Raw genomic sequence first — 24106 nt, forward strand, 5'->3', positions numbered from 1 at the left:
CGTATTATTTTTCTCAAAGTATATAGTTTTCCATGTATCTTGACAGTCTGCATATTCATCATTTCAATGGCTATGTAATATTCCATCAAACTGATGTACCATAAAACTAATTCACCATTTTAATAAAACATCTGACTTTATTTACTAAATGCAAACTAAGTTTGTGTGAGCATGTATTAAAAATTGCTAGACATATTTTCAATGAAAAAAATCATTCTAGAAATAGGCAGATTATTATCTATGTTCCACAAACCAGATTTGAGAGCAATGCCTTAATGAAATGCATCTAGCCTTATTTATTCTGATTTGAAATTTTGAGGTCTACCATAGCAATTTTATATCTGTCATCTGTAATACAGATTATTGTTATTATGATTATATATCAAGCTTTGTGGATGCACCCTGTACTTCATGAATATATCATAAAGTAGGTATCTGCCCCCCAACATTTATGAACTCAAAGAAAACAATGGGTAAATATAACTGTGCACATTGAACACAGATGCATTTTAGTAGATGAAGACCTCATAGAAAATGTAAGATTTGGAGAATAATTTTAAGTGAGGGAAGAAAGGATCCTAGATAAAGAATAAATTTATAGCGATAGCATGTCTAGGTTTATTTTTAACTGATGGACTTGATTGAGTGTTTCTCTCAAACACATGATTTAACTTCTGCAATTCTCTATTATCTGAGAGGAGCTTATCTGCCTGCTGTGAGCAATTTAACTCTTAAAAGAGTAGCTTTTCTGTTTACTTATCCACAACTGACTTGATTCTACTGTCCCTGAGATATTAGCACCTGTGATACCGAAGTCAACTTTAGTTTAATGTATCTATAAGGAGTTAGCAATCCTCCACAAAAGAGGTTCTAATTTTCACTTGCTAAGACTCAAAAGGTCAAGGGAATGAGTGGGAAGAGGATGACACTGTAGCCCCTGAGATGGAATAATAAGGAAGAGTTTCATAAAGAAACTAATACTGGATCTGAGTACTGAAGGATACAGAAAAGCTGTAAGAGAGGATAGAGCACCTCACACAGGGAAGCATGGAGCCAGGAAACATCATGGGTATTATGCAAGGATCCATAATTTCTGGAAACATAGATGAATATAAATATAAATGTTTATAAATGGGTTACTGATATTACATTAAAATATATGGCATGTTTAAAACATCACATGGTATCTTCAACGTGATACCCCTTACTAATGTTGCGTAGTTCAATGGGCTGTACAAAATTGCAATGAATGCAGTGCATTGATAAGCCATTTCCGTCAATCCTTGCACAAACATCAGTGATGCATTGCTTTAGAGGAATTGTACTTCTCATTTTCATTGAATGCACCTGGACATTTAACATCCCCATAAGAAATAAGCCAGGGTCTTCAAAATAAACATAAATAATAAAATACCATTATCTCTGTTTCCACACTTTATGGTAATATTACAAGATCCATGGAAGTTCAGTTTGACTAGAGGGAAGAATAGACATTGAGGAGAGAAAGAAGAAATGAAAAAAGGCAGAAAGGGAGGGAGGGAGGGAGAGGCAAAGGAGGGAGGATGTAAGGACAATATCACTAACGGTCTAGCCTGCCATCAAGACCTATCTGGGCTTCTTTCTTTTAGTGATGAAGAATTGCTAAAAGGTCATAAGCAATATGAGTTACATAATACAATTAACAATATAAAAAGACCATTCCAGTATTAGAGTGGAAGAAGGGTTGGAGTGGTTGTGGGGAAAATCAAAGGTAGGGAGATGAAGAGATTTGAAATAGCATAGGTAAGAGATGATGAGAGGTTAAGTGTGGAGGTTTGGAGTGTGATGGAGTGGAGAAGAAGGAATAGATTTGAGAATTATTTTGGAGCTCAGAGAAATCTGCTTGTTGATGTGGAGGAGGGGAGAGGGGCTGAGTGAAGACTGGACTATGATTCCTTTGCTTTAAATAGTGATATCATTCACTGAGAGAGGAATATTGGGAATGCAGATTTAGATGAGCAGGTGATATGGTAGATTGATTGCAGAATTGCAGAAGTTGCCACAATCCTTTACCCCTTCCTGTAGTCATACATTTTGCAATATGACTTTGACAGACTACCATTTCCCTGCCTCTTGAATCTGGGCTGCCTTTGTGATTTACTTTGGCCAGCAGAATATGGCAGAAGTGACATTGTGCCAGGTCCTAGCCTAGACTTTGGGAGTCCTTGTGACTTTTTGTATTCTCTATTTTCTCACACCCCAACCTCCCTTGTCTGTCTGTCTGTCTGTCTGTCTTAGAACCCTTCCAATGTTAGGTGAACAAGCTTGGACTACTCGTATGCCGGAGGGATGCAAAGACAGGTATTTGGAAAGAGACCTCAGTCATTCCAGCCATTCCAGCTGTATTGGTGTCTTTTTGCTACTATAACAAATTACCACAAATATAAGTGGCTTAAAAATTTATTCTCTTATAATTTTGAAGGTCAGAAACCCAAAATCAAATTCACTAAGCTAAAATCAAAGATTCAGCAGGTATGGTTCTTCCTGTACACTCTAAGGGAAGAATTAATTTCCTGTTCTTCTTCTTTTTCTTTTTTTTTTTTTTTTTTTTTTTTTTTTGAGACAGAATTTCACTCTTGTTGCCCAGGCTGGAGTGCAGTGGCATGATCTTGGCTCACTGCAACTTTGGCCTCCTGGATTCAAGCGATTCTCCTGCATCAGGCTCCCAAGCAGTTGAGGCTATAGGTGCACACCACCATGCCCAGCTAATTTTTGTATTTTTAGTAGAGACAGGATTTCCCCATGTTGGCCAGGCTGGTCTTGAACTCCTGACCTCAGGTGATCCACCTACCTTGGCCTCCCAAAGTGCTGGGATTACAGCCATAAGCCATCATGCCCAGCCGAGAATTCATTTTCTTGCCCTTTTCAGCATCTAGAGTCTGCCTGTATTCCTTAGCCTGTGGCCACTTACTCCATCTAGAAAGTTCATCACTCCAGTCTTTGCTTCTGTTATCGTAACAGCCTTCTCCTCTTCTGTAGTACATTCTTCTCTGCCACCCTCTTGAGAGGACAGCTGTGATTACATTATTGGACCCACCTAGATAATCCAGGATAATCTTTCCATCTCTTCACCTTTGCTTTAATTATATCTGCAAAATCCCTTTTGCAATATAAGATAAGATATTCACAGGTTCCAGGGACTAGGTTGTTGACATCTTCAGAGGTGGAGAAGGATATTATTCAGTCAAGCACACCAGGCAAGGCATTCTATACCAATCAGTTATTTGCCAGGTGACTTCAGTTACATGAGGGAGGTCAGTTGAGCCCAGTTGATTATTACTGCTCAATTAAACCCAAGCTAAATTACCAACGGGCAAAATATAGAGCTAAAATATGATTTCAGTTTTATGCTACTAAGTTTTGGAATGGTTTGTTATGCAGCAAAAGCTAACTGCTACAGGTAAAAAAAAAAATCAATTTTCAGAATTTCTATTTGAGAAAAAAGTAGGGTTATCCAGGTGGCCAAATTGGCAGGTAAAATGAGATTTCGGCTTGAGCTAGAAATTTAAGGTGAAATAAATGAACCTTGAATTAATAAGCAAAAAGCTTGAATTTGATTCCTTAAATACAAGTTCACATTAGTAGCCCTACACTTACCACCACAGGAGAAGTCAAGAACATGGGACTTTGAGATTCTCCTATTCCTCAGCATTTAATAATACTTTCTCTATCATAAAAGGGTGAGGCTGTACTTTCAGAAGAATGCATTGCTTCAAGATAGAGATTCTAGTTTCAGCCACTCTCTTCCAACTCAGAGCCTTATCTATAGGAGTTGTGATGATACAGTGAGAAACAGCATATGAAGAATTTATAATAGAGCCAGGCACAGAGTAAAACCATCAGCGAGTGTTCACTGTTGCTGTTATTATTATCTCTTCACAGGGCTTGTACACAGTTGATGGCTCATCATTACCCAAGAATCTACAGGCTACTGCTGCATAAGCCTTTGGAGTATCAGGTGTACATGCCCATGATAGCACTACCTTCTTTGACTTTTTAAAACTAATGGTCTCTTTGTTTCCTATTTGCTGTAGGAGCTTCCCTGTATTGTGCTAATTCTGCAAAGAATAGGAAAGTTGAAAAAGAAATGAACTAGGCTTCAAATCTTAGATGTGCTGAAAATGAGCTTTGTAATGTTAAACAAGTCAACCTCACTGTGTCTCTTTCTATGGATTCCAATGTTTGTGTGTTCTGCTTCACAGAGTAATTGTAAGGATCAAATGAATCAGTTAACCAATCAAGCCGAATAAATTGAGCACTAACGATGGCTTTAGCAGTGTGCTGGTTATTCTCAAAACTTAGATGTAAGTTGTTGCCAGACCCATCTTCAGAAGCTATACCTTTGCTTGTGCACACACTAATGAACTTGTACTAGTCATGATGTTCTTGAGCTAGTAATAATGCTCTAGCAAAAATAAAACGTACTTTCCACATTCTGAGGACATAATCCAAAGTAGCCTGCAATAAACACAGGCTAAACACTTTTTTAAAGATTTGCTTTTAATATTCAAAATTCCCTCAGAAGCATGATAAACAGAACACACATTTATAACTTTTCCTTCTGAAAATTTACAAAAATTAGAGTAAAGAAGTTAAAAGAAAAAAAAAAATCCTTCAATGCCTAAAGACAAAGAGAACTATAAACCAAAAATAAAATTCTAAGTCTCCTCAATCATCTAAATGGACCCCTCCTCTCGTCAAGGGCATTCCAGAGTTAACGTGAAAAACTAATACAGGCCATGATGGAAGAGGGGGTCAGACATGCCTCATTATATCCTCCTCCCTTTTGGAATTCAGGAAAAGCCAATCAGCATTAACATCAACACAGACTTTAAATGTGATAAGAAACATTTACATTCTTTTCTCTCTGAAGCCTGCTACTTAGAGGCTTCATCTGCATGATAAAACCTTGGTCTCCACAACCCCTTATTCTAGCCCAGCCATTCCTTTCTATTTATAATAGCTCTTTCAGCAAATTACCAATCAGAATATCTTTGAATCCAGCTATGATTTGGAATCCCCATCTCTACCTCACCCCCACTTCCAGCTGTCTCCACTCTTCCAGATTGAACCAATGTAAATCTCACATAGATTGCTTGATGTATTATGTCTCCTTAAAACGTATAAAGGCAAGGTGTACGTCAACCACCTTGGGCACATGTCAGCACCTCCTGAGGCTGTGTCATGGGCGTGTCCTTAACCTTGGCAAAGTAAACTTTCTAAATTGATTGAGACCTGTCTCAGATACTTTTTGGTTCACAGAAAAAACAAGAGACCAAATAACTGCAGTTAAGATGCATCAAGAAAATTTTGGAAGCTGGAAGCAGACAGACAATTCCTAACTGAGTTTAAAGAGAAAAGAAGAGTAAAATTATTCATTATAGAAACGAAGAAACCAGTTGATTTCCACCACAGAATTCAGGAAAGCTTCTGGACTTATAGACAACAGATACATCTAAAGATTCAATGGTGATAAAGATGTAAAGATTGGTTGAAAGCTGGTATGTGGTTAGAATCCTGCATCAACTCCTGCATAGTATGATAACTGCACTCCTCTTCTGGTCTCCCTCATACACAAATAGACACATGCCAGAAGAGGACAAGCCTCTTATTCAACATTGGAGAGATTGAATAACAGGGATTACTTTAGAACAGTAGGTCTCAACCATGTTCAATTTTGCTTCCCAAGGGATATTTGGCAATATGCCATGAAGACATTTTTGGTTGTCCCAACTTGTGGTGGGGTGTTTCTGGCATCTAGTGGGTAGAAGTCCAAGAAGGATTCTTCTAACATCCTACAATGCAAACAACAGCCCCCACCACAAACAATTATCTGACCCCAAGTATCAGTAGTGCAAATGATGAGAAACCATGCTCTAGAACACCAGAAAAAGCTGAGGATGGGAATGAAATATTAAAATCAGATGAATAAAATGAATATTACACACCGAACTGTGAGATCTGCATCTTGAATTATGAGGTCTTCCCCTTCCCTTTATTCACCTAGTTGTATCTCTGAGAAACCCAATCATTTGCCTTATATATTCCAGGCAATAGATCTGAGGCTTCCTTTTTGAGGGAAATCACTGTTTAAAAGAAAAGACCTGTGGATGCCCATAGCAGGGAGGTCTCTCTCCAGCTGACCACTCTACAGTGAAGCCTGCCATGCTAAGCCATCTCCAGTCAGAATTGTAGAATTGTGATAACTTGTTCCTAAATATAAATGCATAGCAAAGGATTAGCAGATATTAAGGAAGGCTTATAACATGAAAGTTATACCCCTGATATGGTTTGAGTTTGAGTACCTGCCCAATTCTCATGTGAAATTGTAATCTCCAGTATTGGAGGAGGGGGTCTAGTAGGAGGTGATTGGATCATGGGGCCGTTTCTAACGGCTTAGCACTATTTCCCTAGAGGTGTCTTCTGATAGAGTTCTCCCCAGACCTGCTTGTTAAAACGTCTGTAGCACCTCCCCACTATCTTCTTCCTCCTGCTGGCCACATAAGATGTGCTTGCTTCCCCTTTGCCTTCCACCATGATTGTAAGTTTCCTGAGGCCTCCCCAGAAGCAGAAGTCTGTACAGCCTGTAGAGCCATGAGCCAATTAAACCTCTTTTCTTTATAAATTACCCAGTTTCAGGTATGTCTTTATAGAAGTGTGAGAAGAGACTAACACAATACCCAAACAGAGAGACCAAAAAAAAAAAAAAAAAAAGAAAAAAAAGAGGAGAGAGAAACTCAAAATAACCATAGATAATATAAATGAAATTTCTTAGGAAGATTAACTAAAAAATCATGAGGTTTTTAATAACTGCCGTAAATATTCACCAGGGCCTACTTTTGTAGCTACTACTTTTTTCTTGTTATTTCCTACATAAATATTGTTTATATTAATTTATATCTCATTCTACAGAGAATTTCATCCAAGTATTTTGTACAAGTAATTAGAGAAATATGTATGCAATATAGACAGGCACAAAAGGAAAATCAGTACAAAAAGAAAATAAAAATACCATGTTAACCAAGTCAACAGAGAAGTTATAATTTAACTTCAAATTGACTTCAGACATTCTATAATTTCTTCAATAATTTGTTAGAAATGAATGAAAAAGGGAGGTTGTGAATAACTGTAACATGGAATTTCTCCTCTATCCTTTCTCATTACATTAGCTTTTTAAAAAAACCAGAAATCTGAATTTTTATAGCTTGTTTTGGTGTAGGACTGAGTAACAAACTTTCCCAGGTTATTTAAAATGTGATTGACTTTACACTATTCCACTTTCATGCAACTTTTCAATACAACTCTGACATACAAGCCACCCCTGTACCAAGACATTTTCTTTAAGCTGGTGATAGATATGCTTCTTACAAAGCTCTCATCAAGGGGTTAGGACACATACATATCTTGATTTGTCTGATTCTTTTATTAGATGAAGGCCATTTACTGCTAACCTTAGGCATTCTTAAGGAGCCAATCTTTTCGAAGAAGACTGTGCTATGAAGGACTAGTTTTATTAATAATGAACTTGAGCTTTGTACTGTACTTCAATAATACTTTCATGTAAGGGTACTGAAATGCTTTGCAATTTAAATGAATTAAGCCCCATAACACACTTTGAGCTACAGAATACTTGATTTTGAAATAGAAAATCCAAGGAAGAGAGATACAAAGTAAGTTTTATGTTTAAATTAAAATCCTCCTTTTCTCCACTTTTCCTCCTTTTCTATATTGTATCCCACTTCACTCTCGACACTACTTATTTCCCTTGCTCTCCTTTCTTCTATTTTCTCTAGGATATTCTTCTTTTCCTATCCATCAATATTCTCTTTTTTCTAGACCTCCACCCACCCATGACAGGAGTCTTTCTGTACAAATCAGGATAAATAAATGAATTAATGTGAGATAAAAATAAGGGGAGGGGCTCTCTTTTTCTTACGACTTTTGAGAAGGTTAAATTTTAATTATTTTCTTCTGTTAACCTCCCTCCTTCACCCACTGCCCCATTTGCTGAAGAAGAAGGCCATCTCCCTTATGAGTTCTGGCTTCCTCTTTCCCCACACTGTCTCTGGTAAGGGATCACTGAGAATAGGAACTTTACACCCCTTCATATCCCCAGTCTGGGGATAACCAAACCCAATATCAGATCCCTCTAGTCACCCTGTTCTGGTCCTTAAGCCTTAGGTTTTGGTGTAGTAGAACTCAATGACTAGTTAATATTAAGTTGGGATCAGCATACCATTGATTTTGGGAAAAGGGATCTCCACTTACACTTCAGTTTAAGCACAAACAATTCTGCCTGCTGCTCAGGGATGGGCAAACTACAGCAGGTCAAACCTGGTTAAGGCTTTGCGGTGGTTAATTCTATGCGTCAATTTAGAAGGTGTTTTGGAAGAGATTTAAATTTAAATAAGTGGGCTGTCAGTAAAGCAGATTGCTTTCGATATCATGGTTGAGTCTCATGTATTGTTCTGAATAGGACAAAAGGCTAGCCTCTCTCAGGCAAAGGAAAATTCTGCAGCAGACGACTTTCAGGCTTGAACTGCAGCATCAGCTCCTCCCTGGGTGTCCAGTCTGCTGTTCCCTGCTGCAGATTTCAGACTTTCCAGCCTCCATAATCACATGAGCCAAGCCAATTCCTTAAATCTCTCCATCTCTTTCTGTCTCTCCCTCTCTGCCCCGCTACACACACACACAAACACACACACACACACACACACACACACACACACACACCCTATTGGTTCTGTTTCTCTGGAACTCTGAGAGGCCTATTTCTGTGGAGTTTTACAGGAATATAGCCATGTCCATTTGTATGTGTATTGTCTATAACTCCTTTCTCACTCGGATGGCAGAGTTGAGAAGTTGCAACACAGACGATGAATGATACAAAGCAGAAAATATTTACTATCTGGCCATTTACAGGAAAAGGTTGGCAACTTCTGCTATGGCTTATTCCCTATCTCTCTTCCCACTGAGAAGATACTGTATGATTGGAAGCCTCCTCTGCCACCCTGGGCTGCTAACTTTCCCTTATTCATCTTACCTCAGTAACCTGAGCATGCCTTCCTCTATTTGAGCATTTAGGATGTAAGTATATTCATCTCTGTATTTTGTTCATGAAAATGAGCTTTTTGAGGTGAAGGACTGTCTTACTGTCTTATTTTTGTTGGAATTTTATTCATGTATGGAATTCAAAAAATATCTTTTGATGAAATAAATTACTGAAATAATAGCAGCTGACCTTTATGGATTGAGCACCTGTGATGTGTCTGCCTCTGTGTTAAGCTATTTACATATATTATCTCATTAAATTCAGACAACAGCTCTGTAATTATCCCCACTTTGCACATGTAGAAACTGAGACTGAGGGAGGGCTGTGATTTACCAATTGTTACACAGCCAGTATAATGAAGAGATGAGATTTCAGCCCAGAAACTTTGACTCCTCAGCCCACTCTCTGACTTAACCCCTCCTTCCTAAAATGAAGACATCCATAGCTGAGAAAGAATGGGTGCACCTTAAACCTTATATCACGTTGTGTCTATAATAATCAAAAGCTATTATTTAAGCAAAATCAGCTTACAATATATATTTTATTTATTTCTCTTTATTTGTTCTTTTTTAGAGACAGGGTCTTGCTCTGTCATCCAGGCTAGAGACTAGTGGTACAATCATGGCTCACTATAGCCTCAACCTCCTCTGCTCGAGTGATCCTCCTGCTTCAGCCCCCAAGTAGCTAGGACTACAGGCATGCACCACCACACCTAGAGATATAGTTTGGATGTTTGTCCCCTCCAAATCTCATGTTGAAGTGTGATCCTCAATGTGAGAGGTGGGGTGTAGTGGATAGTGTTTGGGTCATGGCAGCAGATCTCTTATGAATGGGTTGGTGCCCTCCTTGTGATAATGAGTGAGTTCTTACCCTATTCGTTCATGCAATATCTGGTTGTATAAGAGTTCGGCACCTCCTCCCTCTCTCTCTTGCTCCTTTTTGCAATGTGATATGCCAGCTCCCTCTTGGCCTTCAACCATGATTACAAACTTCCTGAGGTCTCACTAAGAATAGATGCTAGCACTATGCTTCTTGTACAGCCTGCAGAACTATGAGCCAAAGTAAACCTCTTTTCTTTATAAATTGCCCAGCCTCAAATACTTATTGCAATGCAAACAGACTAACACACCCAGCTAGTTTTTAAAACATATTTTATAGACAGGGTCCCATTACATGGCCCAGGCTGGTTCCAAATTCCAGGCCTCTAGTGATCCTCCCACCTTGGACTCCCAAATTTCTGGGATTACAGGCATGAGCCACCACGCTTGGCCATAAAATATGTTTTCAAAAGTTAGGGTACCTGATTAGTCATATTAATATTTTATTGAAAAGAACCAACCTCTTAGCCTTCATTCTTACAAAAACTATAGTAAAAACATTTTTTTAAAGGAAACCAGAAACACATCTGCTTTGGTGTTGTTGCTAGGATCTCCTTATTATTATGCAGTGTAGCTTCTGTGCCCTGTGCTCTGAGGACTGCCTGTGTCTCTCAGGCATAGCTGATGATCACAGGTACCTCATGAATGGAAAAGACCCAGCACAATAAAAATTATCACAAGCCTCATTTCTTTTCTTTCTGCTTTATGACACCACAGTGTTACAAACAAAGCATAGGAAGAATTATTTACTTTTCAGTTCAGGTAGTTCCAAGTTGTATTCATTTGATTTCAGCACATCAGAAAAATCTTCTGATCACCTGAGTCATCAAACATAGCAAAAAGCATTTACTGAACCATTTGAGCCTGCTGATAGTCCTGAAATTTCTAGGAATGCTTTTATGATAATAAGGAATTACTGGATCACATAAAAGCACTTATACCCGTACATGTAAGGATTATAAAACAGCACGGTTTCTTTCATGTGGTCCTTGGTCTGTTACTGTTATTGTGGCAGGAGAAGGGGTTGTGTGGAGAAACATTGGATGGACCACTGGGAAAAATACACTCAAGCTCCTTAAAGTCTATGTAATGTGATCTCTAATGTCAATTCCCAATCATTTTTAGGGCTGGCTTTTAGAAGACGGCAGCAGCAACAGGATGATTTATACGACCTACAGCAGAAATAGCAGTAGTAACTATACTCTGCTGAGAACTCTAGGAAGTCCATATGACAGTCTCTAAACATATACTACCTCTCATCCAAGAGGATGAGAATCCTTCTTTCTAAAAATTATATCATCCATTATACAAATGAGAAATTGAGGTGCAATGATTGAATTATTTTTTTCTAAAGCCACACAGTTAATAAACAAAGGAAATGGGATATGAATTCATCCTGTCTATTTTCTCAAGCTTGTACTCATTTTACCTATATAATACACCAGAAAGGACAGAATTGTCAAGCTCTGTTTCCCAGAAACATAAGTCAGCATAACATTGATAAATGAATACGTTTGATGTCTTAAGATGATCTCTTCTCCATGCTTAGGGGCTTTGAAATAATAAAAAATATGTCTACTCTTCTGTATACCCAAAATATTCCAAGAAGTAAAAGTTTGCTACATGAACAGAGAATCAAGGACTTATCGTTAACTTTTTCTTCTGGTGACAGTTTAGAGCTCAGACAAGGAGAAGCTGTTTTTTGCCGAGACAGTGTAAAGGAAGAACTGAAGGTGTCCAATTTAGTGGTATAATTGTGAACATCCACAGAGGAAACAAAAAAATTTTGAATTGTCACCAGAAAAGTCCATAGTCCTATTTCCTTTGCTTACCGTGTGCCTCTAGAAACTCTAAACTCTCTGAGCCTTCGTATTGTAAAATGAAAATGCAAATAATAATAATACTGGCTCACAAGATAGTTAATAAATGAGATGCAACAGTAAAACTCAATTGCTATAAAGTGCAGTACAAATGTTAGTTACTGCTATTTTAATTTCAATACATTTTTTACTATATTATTATAACATCCATCTTATGACTAGGCAGGAAAGTGTCAAAGAGACCATAGAAAGTGGGAGTTGATGGAGAAAACATTGCTAGAAAGGAATATAAAATTTAAACTGATTTTAATAAAAACATATAATACAATTAATTTGTTTTTCCATAAAACAAATTGACATGGCAAATTTAGTATTTCACCAGGAAAATATCACTAAATTTCTGGGTCTGATACAGTGCCATAATTGTTTAGCATTGCTGTGGTCTCTTGAGAAAGTATATTATTTTTGGAATGCTCTTTAAGCAGAGAAGAGTATCACTAATGTTTTTATATCTAAGTTCCCTACCCCTTTCAAAAGAGATGCGTATTCTTTAAAGTTCATGTCAAGAAAATACCTCCAATGTAACTATAATTTTAGGTTTGTTTCCTTCAACACCTCTTTCTAGTGTTCTCTCTCAAAAAATTCTAAAAAGATGAGATGATCCTTTTAAGTTGAAAAAGATATTTCCTGAGAAGCAAAGCTTTGTCTAGTAAAAGCTTTTGTTTTACACTTGGAAAACTGTTGCTTTTCTAGGTAAGTTTTAGAAAGAGCTAAAGGACACATTCATTTGGGGACTGAACATATTTTTCAATATTTGAGGTCTTTGTCTCAGAATGTACTTTTGTATTGGCCTTGATCCACTAATTCTTAGATTCAGAGTATCTCAAAATTTTAGAGTCTACTGCTCAAGAGATTTGGAGGCCACATTTTTCTTTCTCTCATGTGATATTTAAGTTCCCTTTACAGTATCTGACCTGTGGTTGGCAGATCTCTGCTCGAACTCATCCACAAATAGAACATTGGTCCATGCCTGTATGCATTCATTCATGTCAGAATCATCATTTGCCATGCAACTAACATTAACTCGAGACCACAGGGAGTACAAAAAGAGGACAGGACACGGTCTTTGACTATCAGTGGATAAAAGGGAACAAGGTCCAGTTTGCTTCTTCCAGTTCCATGCGGATAATTCAAAACCGCTCAATCAAAAAAAAAGCCCTTCAACTTCGTGTGATTTGAAGTTTACACCAATCCATGGTCCTATTATTTGCTTTTGATTCAGCATACACTTAAACTTAATTGCCTACTACCGGCTCAAAACTACACTAGAAGATCTCCTTTTGCATTACCTCAATTAAGTGTACCTTTCATATGGACTCATTTTATCTGAATAACCACAAAGTCTTCTGTATCTTCTCTACTTTATTTCCAGAAAATTTCAATGCTTATGTGGTTGATCATGTTATAATATTATCTCATGGCTTCTCCTGCTTTCACTTATTTCTGCTGGTCTCACTCATCAAGGCATTAGCACAGCAGTATCATAAACATCTAGGGTCTTCAATCTGCTTCCTTGCTTACCTGCTACCTCTCTCACTGATTTCTCATTCAGTGTTCTGAGGCCTTCAAATCCTTTTAAGCCAGAAAATATTCCCTTGTTTCCTTGTACTTCATGGTTTGTGATGCCTGTTCTCTCCTTTATACCATTCTCAAAGTTCTTGCCTTCCTACACTTATATGAAACTCAGATATCCATTCTCAAACTAGTCTCTGCTCAGTGTGATCATCTTCACTGTTAATGCGGAAGACCAGTTGCATCTCAAGGAATGGATCCCAGGTTGGTTCCAGGGGGAGGACCTTTAGTTACTTTGTCAGTGATATATTTCACATCAATTAAATCAGACTTCAGATATATTATCACTAACATCTTCAGTCTCTCCTTTAAGTTGCCTGTTTTTCCTTTTTTTAACACATACTAGCCTCTTGTTTTCTGAAAAAGTCTTCCCTTGGACTGGCCCCAGCCCTTTCTAAGATTTATTCAATTCTCTCTTTTTTACATGCTTGATTTTTTGCCATCATGGTGCAGTAGTTCTCCAGTATAATCTTATAGACAAATACAGTGGTTATGTCTCAATGCTTATCCTTGTTTTCTTCTGATATGCATTTTAAAGAGTTAATCACCCTTTCTTCTTAAAGATCTCCATTTGATTTCTAAAAGACATATTTTCTTTGTTTCTCATTTTACTTTCACTTTCATATTTTCTGTCACTTAAGTAACAAACAGAAATATTAATGTGATTACAATAATAACCATAATGTATTCAGCTCTTAATTTGCATTGCATTTTACACATAGACATTATTTCATTTAATCTGCACACAACTTCAAGAATACGTAATTTTTTTTCAATGATAGGTAACATTAAGTTTCAAAGAACTTAAGTAATTTGCTTAACATCTACTTCAAGGATTGGATGTATATTCTCTCTTCTATCTCTACACTTTCTTCCCTGTAGTTCCCGCACATTAAGTACAATTCATATGTTGATATACAACATATTATTATCTGTAGCCCATACCTCAACATTGAAGACAATGCTTGTATACCATCTGTCCACTTGACATTTCTATTTGATGTCTCAAGGAATCTCAACTATATAATGCTAAATTTTTGGTTTTTCTTTTCTGCCTTATCTCAACTTCTTTCACACACAAGAATACAACTTGTTTTCTTCCTCCATTTTCTCTGTTTTAGCTAATGGTCCCACTATGTACCCATCTGTCTGCTCAAGCCAACAACATAGAAGTCATCGTGAGTTTTCTTTCTTCATTTCTGTATCCTCAATTATTAGCAAGTTCCATTAGTGCTTCTTTCAAACTAAATCTCCAAATTATCTATTTTGCTTCATTTCCCATACCTTTACCTTTGGCATATGTTCCCTGTATTAATCATTTGACCACGGGGGTGGATTTTTCACTGATCTACCCGTGTCCCCTCTAGTCTTCACCCTTTCATTCTCTGCACAAAAGCCAGAGTGAGGCTTCTCCGTGTATCTCTCCTTTATTTAAAGTCCTTAAATGGATACCAACATGACCTGGCCTCTGTGTACTTTTACTTGACCTCTTGCCCTTCTTCCCTGAATCACTAGGATAAAAATATTTTGTTTTTATTGTTCCTAGCATACTCGAAGCTGACATTCTTTTCTGGGTTCAGATAGGCTACCACTCCCTCTTCAACCTCCCAACTCTAAACTTCTTTGAATGGAAGACTCTTTCAGTTCTCGGCTTATAGGTTGCATCCTGAGAAAAGTCTTTCCTGATCTTATCTAAAGTAATCACTGGTCCTTATCACCAATTTTCTCTTGTAGCATATTCTTTATTTCCTGACACACTAAAATAAATAGTTTTATTTTATTTGTTTATTTTTTATGATCTAATGCTAGATTGTATATTACTAGAGAGCAGGCACTGTGTCTATATTGCCCAGGCTGGAGTGCAGTGGTGTGATCTTGGTTCACTGCAACCTCCGCCTTCCAGTTTCAAGCGATTCTCTTGCCTCAGCCTCACAAGTAGCTGGGATTACAGGCGCCCGCCACCATGTCTGGCTAATTTTTGTATTTTCAGTAGAGATGGGGTTTCCCCACGTTGGCCAGGCTGGTCTTGAATTCCTGACCTCATGTGATCCACCCGCCTCAGCCTCCCAAAGTCCTGTGATTACAGGCGTGAGCCGCCGCGCCTGACCTGTATCTTGTTCACTTTGATGTGCCTAGCTTTTAGCATGGTGCACAGCACATGTTTTGGTTTTCCAGGGCTGCTGTAACCTGGGTGGCTTAAACAACAGAAATTTATTTTCTTATAGCTCTGGAAGTTATAAGTCAGAGATAAAGGCTATGGCAGTGTTGGTTGCTTCTGAGAATTATCAAGAAGAATCTGTTCTGTGCCTCACACCTAGCTTCTGGTGGTGGTGGTGGTGGTGTTGTGGTGGTTGTTATTTTAACCAATCTGGCATTCCTGGGCTTGTTGAAGCATCATCTTGACCCCTGTCTTCATCTTCCCTTGGCACTCCCCATAAGTGCATCTCTGTGTCCAAATTTCCTCTTTCCATATGGACATCCAGGCACATTGCATTAAGGCTCATCCTAATAACCTCATCTTAATTAGCTAATTACATTTGCAATGACCCTATTTTCAAATAAGATCACCTTCTGAGGTACTGAGAGTTAAGACTTCAACAGATGAATTTATTTTTGAGTGGGGGGGATACAATTCAACTCATAAACAGCACCTGACAGCCAGGAAATGATGAAAGCAATACTGAGCCCATTATCTATCAAACATCAAGGACTGTAGCTATAGAGACCTGGAGCTAGGACCAAGGGAAAATACAAGCTGCTGTTTATCAAGACTTATAAAGGGTCTGAGATTTTCCCCTACTTGTCAGTTAACAAATTGGTCTACCTCCGTTTCCTGGATGCTCGCAAAATACATGACAGTCTTGGGCAAGTGAAAAAGAACTTTATTCCTGACAGCAGTAGCACTAACCAGAGTATCTGCATTTGTGCGGTTCCCTAAGCCCTGATTTCCACACAATGACTTGAAGAAAGCCAGGATACACTTGAAAACATAGTAGGTTGCATTTTAAAGGGATAACTCAAAGCCTGGGAAATTTAAATATTCTATAATGGACAATAAGCCTGCCTGACCTTTGCCCTGGAAATAGACATTATCTTTATTATAACATATACTACACAAACCTTCCCTTTGCTCTGGAAGGTGATATTATCACTATGTCTCAAACAAAGGCAGTCAGTACCTCTGTATACCACACTTGCAGAAATGTGATCCATACCCATGAATAATAGTCTTCCAATAGTGCCCCAGCCAGGAAGCAAGGAAAATGTGTTCCTGAAGTAGCGGTTTATGAACTGAGTCTGGAACATCTTCCTATTTTCAGAAATTTGCCTTCTGAAAATGTCATGGCAAAGAAGTAAACATGTAAAAAAACATTTTTGTTTTACACCCAGTTTTCTTTGTCTTTCCCTAAGTAATTGTATGTTGGTTAATACATTTTCTGGAGTTTCAATACTCAGTGTGACTATGCTAGTATCTTGCTTAGTTACTGTGTTTCTTCAGCCCAATTTTTCTATTAGTGTATTTAGGTAATCAGAGGTATAGAAATTCTGAGATAAATACTACCTTCATTCTATAGCTCCAGAGATTGTGCCATCTGCATTTAAAAAGTGCTACACATGCATATGTTATAGAGAATAAGGTGGATGTGAAGAACATAACTAAACTGCAGAAAAGAACATAAATATCTATAATTTCATTTGTAACTAAGGATTTAAAGCACCCTCCTTCCATTTCATAGATTAGGATAACGAAGCCCCAAAGTATTAAGAGGCTTAAATGAAGAAAGAATCCACTATTAACCCCTGATGTTTAAATTATACATAATTTCATGTTCTATGTATATAGCTGCCCTCTTTAAGAGAGTATAAAAAATAAATAAGAAAAAAAGATACCCTAAAATAAACAGTATCAGTCCTCTTTATTACAATGTTTCAGAATAGACCCTGATGTCTGGTTGAGGTTGGGGGAAAAATTAATTCCTGGTTTTAGTATATGTACAAAATACTCTTTGAAGCCTTTCTCTGTGAATTCTGTATCGTCTCCAAGTGTTGATCATTCTAAATGGTACATGAGAGTCATTTAATATGAAAAGCTCTATGTCTTAGTGTGATTTGCACCACTATCTCTTCCTGTTGGTGTCTGTTGTAAATTTTCAGCCCCCACCTAGCAATTTCTTTTCATAACGAACACAGGCTTCATGAGTCAACTTCAACTATAAACATTTTATTATCTGAGCATTTCATAGGCAATGAAACATACGGTGTTTAGAATTCTAAGAATACTGGAGATGAAGGGTAAGAAAGAGAGACCTGTGTTTTTCCCCCTGAAATTCAAAATGCTGAATATCTCTTTAAATATCTGGCACTGTAATTTAAGTAAGTGGATTTTCTCCCAAAAAAAGTTTTTAAAATCTGCTTCTGAAATTAATCTATAAATCACCAAATTCAATCAGTACCAAAAACAGTAAGTGATTTAATAAAGGGTTAAATCTGCATAGTGCTGTGCAGGAAGCAACTTGCCTTGATGCCAGAATGAAATCCTAGAGTACATGTCTATGAATGAAGTATAAATTACAAAAGCACAGAATTGCCATGCAAAAAGGTAGAGACCCCTGATACATATCTTAACCTGTATCATCATGTCAGTACCTTCCTAAATCCTCAAACTTGTGGTTGCCTTGGAAATGTGGCAATTCATAACCTTTCCACCCGGCCTTCCCCTGGCTGCCAATGGAAAGAAAGAAGATGAATGATTTTAATTCTTGCTGCTGCCCTGCCCAATGCAGCTCTGCTGCCAGCTGGTTTTGCTGCAGCCCTGGTTATAGGAGGTTGGGTTCATGTGAATTTTTTACATGGAGATCACAGAAATAGAAGGAAGGACATTGTGGAGAAGGGGTTGCTTCTCATGGAGTAACATTAAGGTAGCACAATAGGGCAATAAACATGGGGGCATATAGTTGTACTTCTGAGTGTTCTACCACAAGAGGATGAGTGGTTTTATCCTTGCCCAAAACAGAAGCCTGACTAGATGCTACTTTTGAATAAGTCAACACAAATACACAGCAGTCCATTAAAAGAAGAAAATAATGTGTGGCAAAGTGTGGAATGGCCTGATGGAAAGGATTATTCTGAACTTGATTTTTTTAAAGGCTTTCTCGAGCTTTAGGAGGAGGAAGTGCTGAGCTATCTTGGTGAGAAACTACAAAAACAGTATCCCTGGGGGCAGGTGACAGAACCAAGGACAGTCATAGCAGGAGAAGAAGACGACAGGTCAGAATAGGGAACAGCAACAGCCAAGCGACTACAGTTACCTGAATTTTGTTCCTGACTCTGCTCTTACAATTTGCCAGGACTGGGAATTTGCCAGAACTTTGGAATGGAACTACTCAATCCTTCACAGTTGCCTGGAACAAACACAGACACGCACTCACAAATACATACAGTACGAGAAGCAGAGATATGGACATTAGGGGATTGGAATATTAGTTTGTTTACACTGGAGGAAGTAAAGAAAGGAAGAAAGCAAGACAAGAAAAAAGACAGCAACCCAGGAAAGAAAAGTCAGACAGTGATAAATTGTGAATCTGGTGTAGGGTTGTTTCTGATAAGGAAACACCATAGGAATCAGGACCTGGGAACTTTCTTTCAGATGTATACACATTTCCCTAAAGCAAACTGTTAAAGACTTTTAAACATAAAACTGTCACAGCAGAGGGTATCAGGGAGAAATAATGGTGTTCTCACACGCAGCTCAAAGTACTGTACAAAATTTGCTTTTTGACATCTTTGCAAGACACCTAGAGGCACAAGGGGGCATATTTCTGTGATCTTTGTAGAATCCTGAACACAGGTACACACAGCTTAGAATTCAGAACCCCAAAGTTCCTTTAGACAAGTTTAATAATAACTGAACCTAAATACCTGTCTATCTTTGATGCATGTATTATACAAATGAAAACTAATGAAGCACTAAAGAACACTGTGTTCAAACCCAAGAAATGCAAATCAGAAAAAACAAACAAACAAACAAACAAAAAAACACTTAAGCCTTGACCAAGAAACGCTGGTTCTAAGCAGTAAGGCTAGCCAACTTGCGGTGATGCATTCAGCCAAACGAGAGAAGAGAGAAAAGGAAAGAGAAAAAGATCCTGAAAAGGTTTTTTTTTTTGCTTTCAGTGACTCACATATTTATGTTTCTGTGTCATCTATCTGCCTATACCATTTCCCCTCCTTCCCTTTCCTTCCATGTTTCTATATGTTGCTAAATCCCTTCTGCCCCCGCCACTCCCTCTCTTGCCAACTCTTCCATTCTTCGGTGATTTGTTGCTGACTCCCCTGCAGGTCCAGCTGCGTGCTTTTCATTGTTCTGTAAGTTGCCTCCCCCCCTTCCCTTTTTCCTCTCCATCTCTGAAGTGAAACATACGTGCATGGTCAGCAGACGCACAAACACGCTGCTATGCTAACTTCTCTCTGCCACTTTCCGGTGATGGACACTCCGAATGTTTAGCACAGCACGCCGAAATGTTGATGTAACAATGAGAAGCTCTTCACCTGCAACGCTAATTAATCGTAAACACGTTCCTTTCAAGGTAGGAGTTCTGGCACTGATGCCTGGAGGAGAAATTGGATTTTCTTTAGAAGGCAAACAAAAATCCCCTTCAGATGCTAGGTGGCAGTGTTAACTCACAAACAGGCACACATCTAAGACTTGCCAAGTCACACATGTAATTTGGTTTAAGTGAGACGGACAAAAAAGTGGAGAACTCATAGAGATGGTTTGACGCCAAAAAATAAGTTGCCGCGACTGTCCATGAAGGAGTTCATAAACATGCAAAGTTGAGCGTTACTCTTTAAAAGGATTCCTCGCCAAAGACAGCTGATATTTTAAGTGTCTGCCTTGTAATTTCAGCATCAAGATTTCAAAGCAATATTGTTTTTTAAAAATATGACGTTGGTAGAGATACCCCAGATGTTTAATATTTTTCCTACTCCACCTGAATTTCCCATCTGAATAAATGTGATCAGTATTCATAGCAACTAGAAAAGAATCTGAACACCAAGCATTGCTCTTATTATAACGGGATCTCAGGGACAGGTTGTCTTCCTCTTTTTCCAGGTGATCACTGCCACACAGTTCTTTCATTCCTAAATTTCCCAAAATAGGATCCCCAGGGACACCTTTTACTCTTTCTTCTCTTTTACATGCCAATCAATCACCTTGACTTGTGGATTCACTCATATAAATATTGCTGAAATCCACAGTCACCTTGTAAGGCCTGTTGCTCGTGGTTTAGTTCAATTCCTTATTTTTCTTCCTTAGAAGATTGTGGTAGGCTATTAGGTGAACATTCTCCATTTCATATCTTTCCCAACCATATATTAACCACAAACATGAAGAGTGGTCTTCTTGAACACGCATCTGAGCATATAACTCTTTTCCCTAAAAAACTGGGATGGATATGACTTATATATAGGATAAAGTGCACATACACATACATATACCTTAATGAAACTTATAAGGCCCCTTTATGACCTGGCCTCATTTATCTCAACTTTTTCTTTTCTCAGGCTTCCTCCTTACGCATTGTACAATCCAGCCACATATATTCCTGAGGGATTCTCTTTATATGTCAAATTATATCACACCTCCAAGCCTTTTACATGCTGTTCTCTCTGCCAGAAATAATCTTCCTTCCTTTTCTCACCAGGTAAACACCTTATTCAATCATGTATTTATTGTGCAAAACCCCAGGGCAAATGCTACCTCTCTGAGCTTCCTAAGTGAGGTTAACTGTCCTATGTGCTTATACTTACAGATACACATATAGATATAGCTATAGACACACACCTTTATGTAAAGGGTCTCTCAGTTTATTGTAACTATCTTTTTATATAAGTTCTCCTTCAATAAACTATGAACCCCTAAAAAGCAAAGTTGCTGATGTAGTCATGTATGTAGCTCCACAGATTACTTCAGAAGAACTGTACTGTATCAATGTTTCAATAAAGGATTAGAGAATGAATGGAAGATGGACTGTTTTTCAATATGTTTGTGTTCAAAGAAGCATCTTATTATTAGGTTGCCAAAAGAATTTTACTGAGTAAAGTGTAATGAGTGACACTTCTGAGCATCAGCATAGTGCATATTGGAGAACCAACTACTTTAATTCCTAAAAATTTGCAATTTTAAAGACTATTTCCCCAGACTACATTTATCCTTGTCCATCAATATAAAAATCTAGCTATTTTAAATAAATTATTTTTGTCATCTTGAAAATCCACTTCTTTATACAATCATACATTTTCTTTTTACATCTTTTAATTATTCCAACAAATCTTTCCTTTGTAAGACACAGAAAGTCATTTCAAACAAAGTTAAGCAAAAAGATAATTTATTAGCTCACGTTAATGGAAAAAATATTGGGATACTTCACAGAATCCATGCTTTCATTTACTTAAAGAATATTTTTGAGGATTTATTGTATATTGGTCCTATAATAATCAACAATACAGATAGAAAACTCCTTTTCTTGTTACATTAACTTGGGTTTAGACCAATGATTCTCAACTGGGCATGGCTTTTCTCCCCAGGGACATTTGTCAATGAGTAGAGACATTTTCTGTTATCACAACTGGTTCTACAGGCATCTAGTGAGTAGAGCAAGAGACTCTGCAAACACCTCATGAGGCACAGGAAGTCCACCATGACACAGAATTATCCAGCCAAGGATGTGAATAGGGCATAGATTGAGAACCTTGTAAAGAAGTAGACTGTGTCATATGAAAAGAACAGTAGATACCAAGGCTGTGACAAGAACAGGTTTGGCATGTTTGAGAAAAAGGACATGGTCCTTTATGGTTGGGGCAGAGGAAATGAAGGCAAGAGTATAGGAGATGAAGTCAGATACAGAGCTGGAATAAGATCACAAAGGGCATCGTAAGTTGTATTAAGGGTTTTAACTTCCACTCTGAGCAAGATGGAAAGCTGTCAACAGGTTTTGCTCAGAGATATAGTATGATGTGACTTAATTTTTAAAAGATCAATCTGTCTGCTACATGGAGAAAGAAAAAACATGCAGAATGGCAAAGGAGAAAATAGGAATTTGGTCATTACAATAGTCCAGGAGAGAGAAGATGGTGATTTGTACCAGGATGGTAGCAATAGCACAATAGAAAGAGGTTAGAATCTGGATATATTTTGAGGTAGAGAAAATAGGATTTGCTGATGGTTTGAATGTGGGTATGAAAGAAAGAGGAGCCAAGCTTGTTTCAGAGGTTTTGGTCTAAGCAACTGACACAATAAAGATAGCATGTACTTCAATGGAAAGACTGTGAAAGAATGAGGAGATAAGGAGCTCAGAAAGTCCAAGTAAGACACAGAATTGTCCACTGGATAAACACACCTTGAATTGAGAGAAGAGTATTTTGAATATGTATTTTGAAGTATCAACTCTATAGATAAGGCCTAGATGAGGTCACTTAGGAAGTGAGTTTAGATAAACCAGAAGTGTCCGAGCCCTTAGGAATCTCCAACAGTTACAGAGGTTAGAGAAAAAAAAGAACATCTTGCCAAAGGGACTGAGAAGGATCATTGAATAAGGTAGGTAGAAACCCAGATGAGGTTAAGTACAGAGTGGCTCCCCAGAGACCAAGAGAGATGCTCAAAGGAAAGGCAATAACAAAACATGTCCAGTGCTCTTGATAGGTCAAGATAATGATGCCTGAGAATTCATGATTGGATTTTGAAATGTGAAGATGGCTGGTGATCAGAACAAGGGCAGTATCAGTGAAAATGGAGAAAGCCCCTGTGGAGTCGCTCAAAGGAGGTAGTATGTTATTTATGGAAAAATATGTATGTGGTAAAACTCTTAATAATTAAAAGGAAAGGAAATATATACTTAAAATTTAAGATAGCCGTTATCTTTTCTCTAAGGAAGGCAATGAAATGTATATAGAAAGTATATAGAAATGTATATAGAAAGGAACACAGAGGAAAGTAAAATAGAATTGGTAATATTATAATTCTTAAGTTATGTTATTATGCTTCACAATGTAAAACATGTTACATATATTTTTCTGCATGAACAAAAAATAACATAACTGAAACCTACAAAGAGGAAAGGGGATGTGTAGAATTGGAGTCAGTGATTGTAAGACTGACTACTCTTTTGAGAAGTTTGTAGAGAAATGAGCTAATGATTAGAGATGCTATAAACTTATTTTTTGCCTTGGTTTTAAGATGAATGATATTAATATTTGTGCTAGTGGGAATGTCTCTGTGATAGTGGGAATGTAGAGGTGGGGAAATGATGAAGCAGGATCCAGAAAGCTGGTAGAATAAGGGCTTCAGGTACTGGAAACCTGATACTGTGCTGTCAAGACTCACACTGCCTGCCTTTCAACTCTGCTTGCCTTTATTGAGCTTTATGCTGTTGTAGAAGGCTTTCTTTAGAGATGGCAACTGTCAGCTACAGGTTCACATCCTCCCAATTTAGTAAACACGGTATATAGAGAGGAAAACTCCTTCTCTCAACATCTGTGTATCAATTCCAGAAGAAATTCTGACTGATCCTGCTTAAATGGTAGTCATTGATTGGTAAAGCCTAAGTTGCACATCTACACCTGGGCCTAGGCAATTGGCATCTATTAACAGAACCTATCATGTACAGCACAGCCAAGTATAATAA

General features: G+C 37.8%; 1 non-coding gene across 1 annotated transcript, besides 2 other annotated features; it reads right to left on the reverse strand.

Moving 5' to 3' along the window:
- Positions 4344-4978: an enhancer, noted in NCBI's record as "OCT4-NANOG-H3K27ac-H3K4me1 hESC enhancer chr3:116567636-116568270 (GRCh37/hg19 assembly coordinates)". NCBI's record gives its function as "activates a minimal SCP1, AML or CMV promoter by ChIP-STARR-seq in primed H9 embryonic stem cells {active_cell/tissue: H9 hESC(primed)}" and the evidence as "EXISTENCE:reporter gene assay evidence [ECO:0000049][PMID:30033119]".
- Positions 4979-5614: an enhancer, noted in NCBI's record as "OCT4-NANOG-H3K27ac hESC enhancer chr3:116568271-116568906 (GRCh37/hg19 assembly coordinates)". NCBI's record gives its function as "activates a minimal SCP1, AML or CMV promoter by ChIP-STARR-seq in primed H9 embryonic stem cells {active_cell/tissue: H9 hESC(primed)}" and the evidence as "EXISTENCE:reporter gene assay evidence [ECO:0000049][PMID:30033119]".
- MIR4447 (microRNA 4447) lies at positions 5832-5922 on the reverse strand. The gene has a single exon (NR_039649.1). It is a non-coding gene; the product is annotated as a microRNA 4447 (primary transcript).
- Between the last annotated feature and the right edge of the window lie 18184 nt (positions 5923-24106).

This window comes from Homo sapiens, chromosome 3 (assembly GCF_000001405.40).
Source record: "Homo sapiens chromosome 3, GRCh38.p14 Primary Assembly".
NCBI lineage: Eukaryota > Metazoa > Chordata > Mammalia > Primates > Hominidae > Homo > Homo sapiens.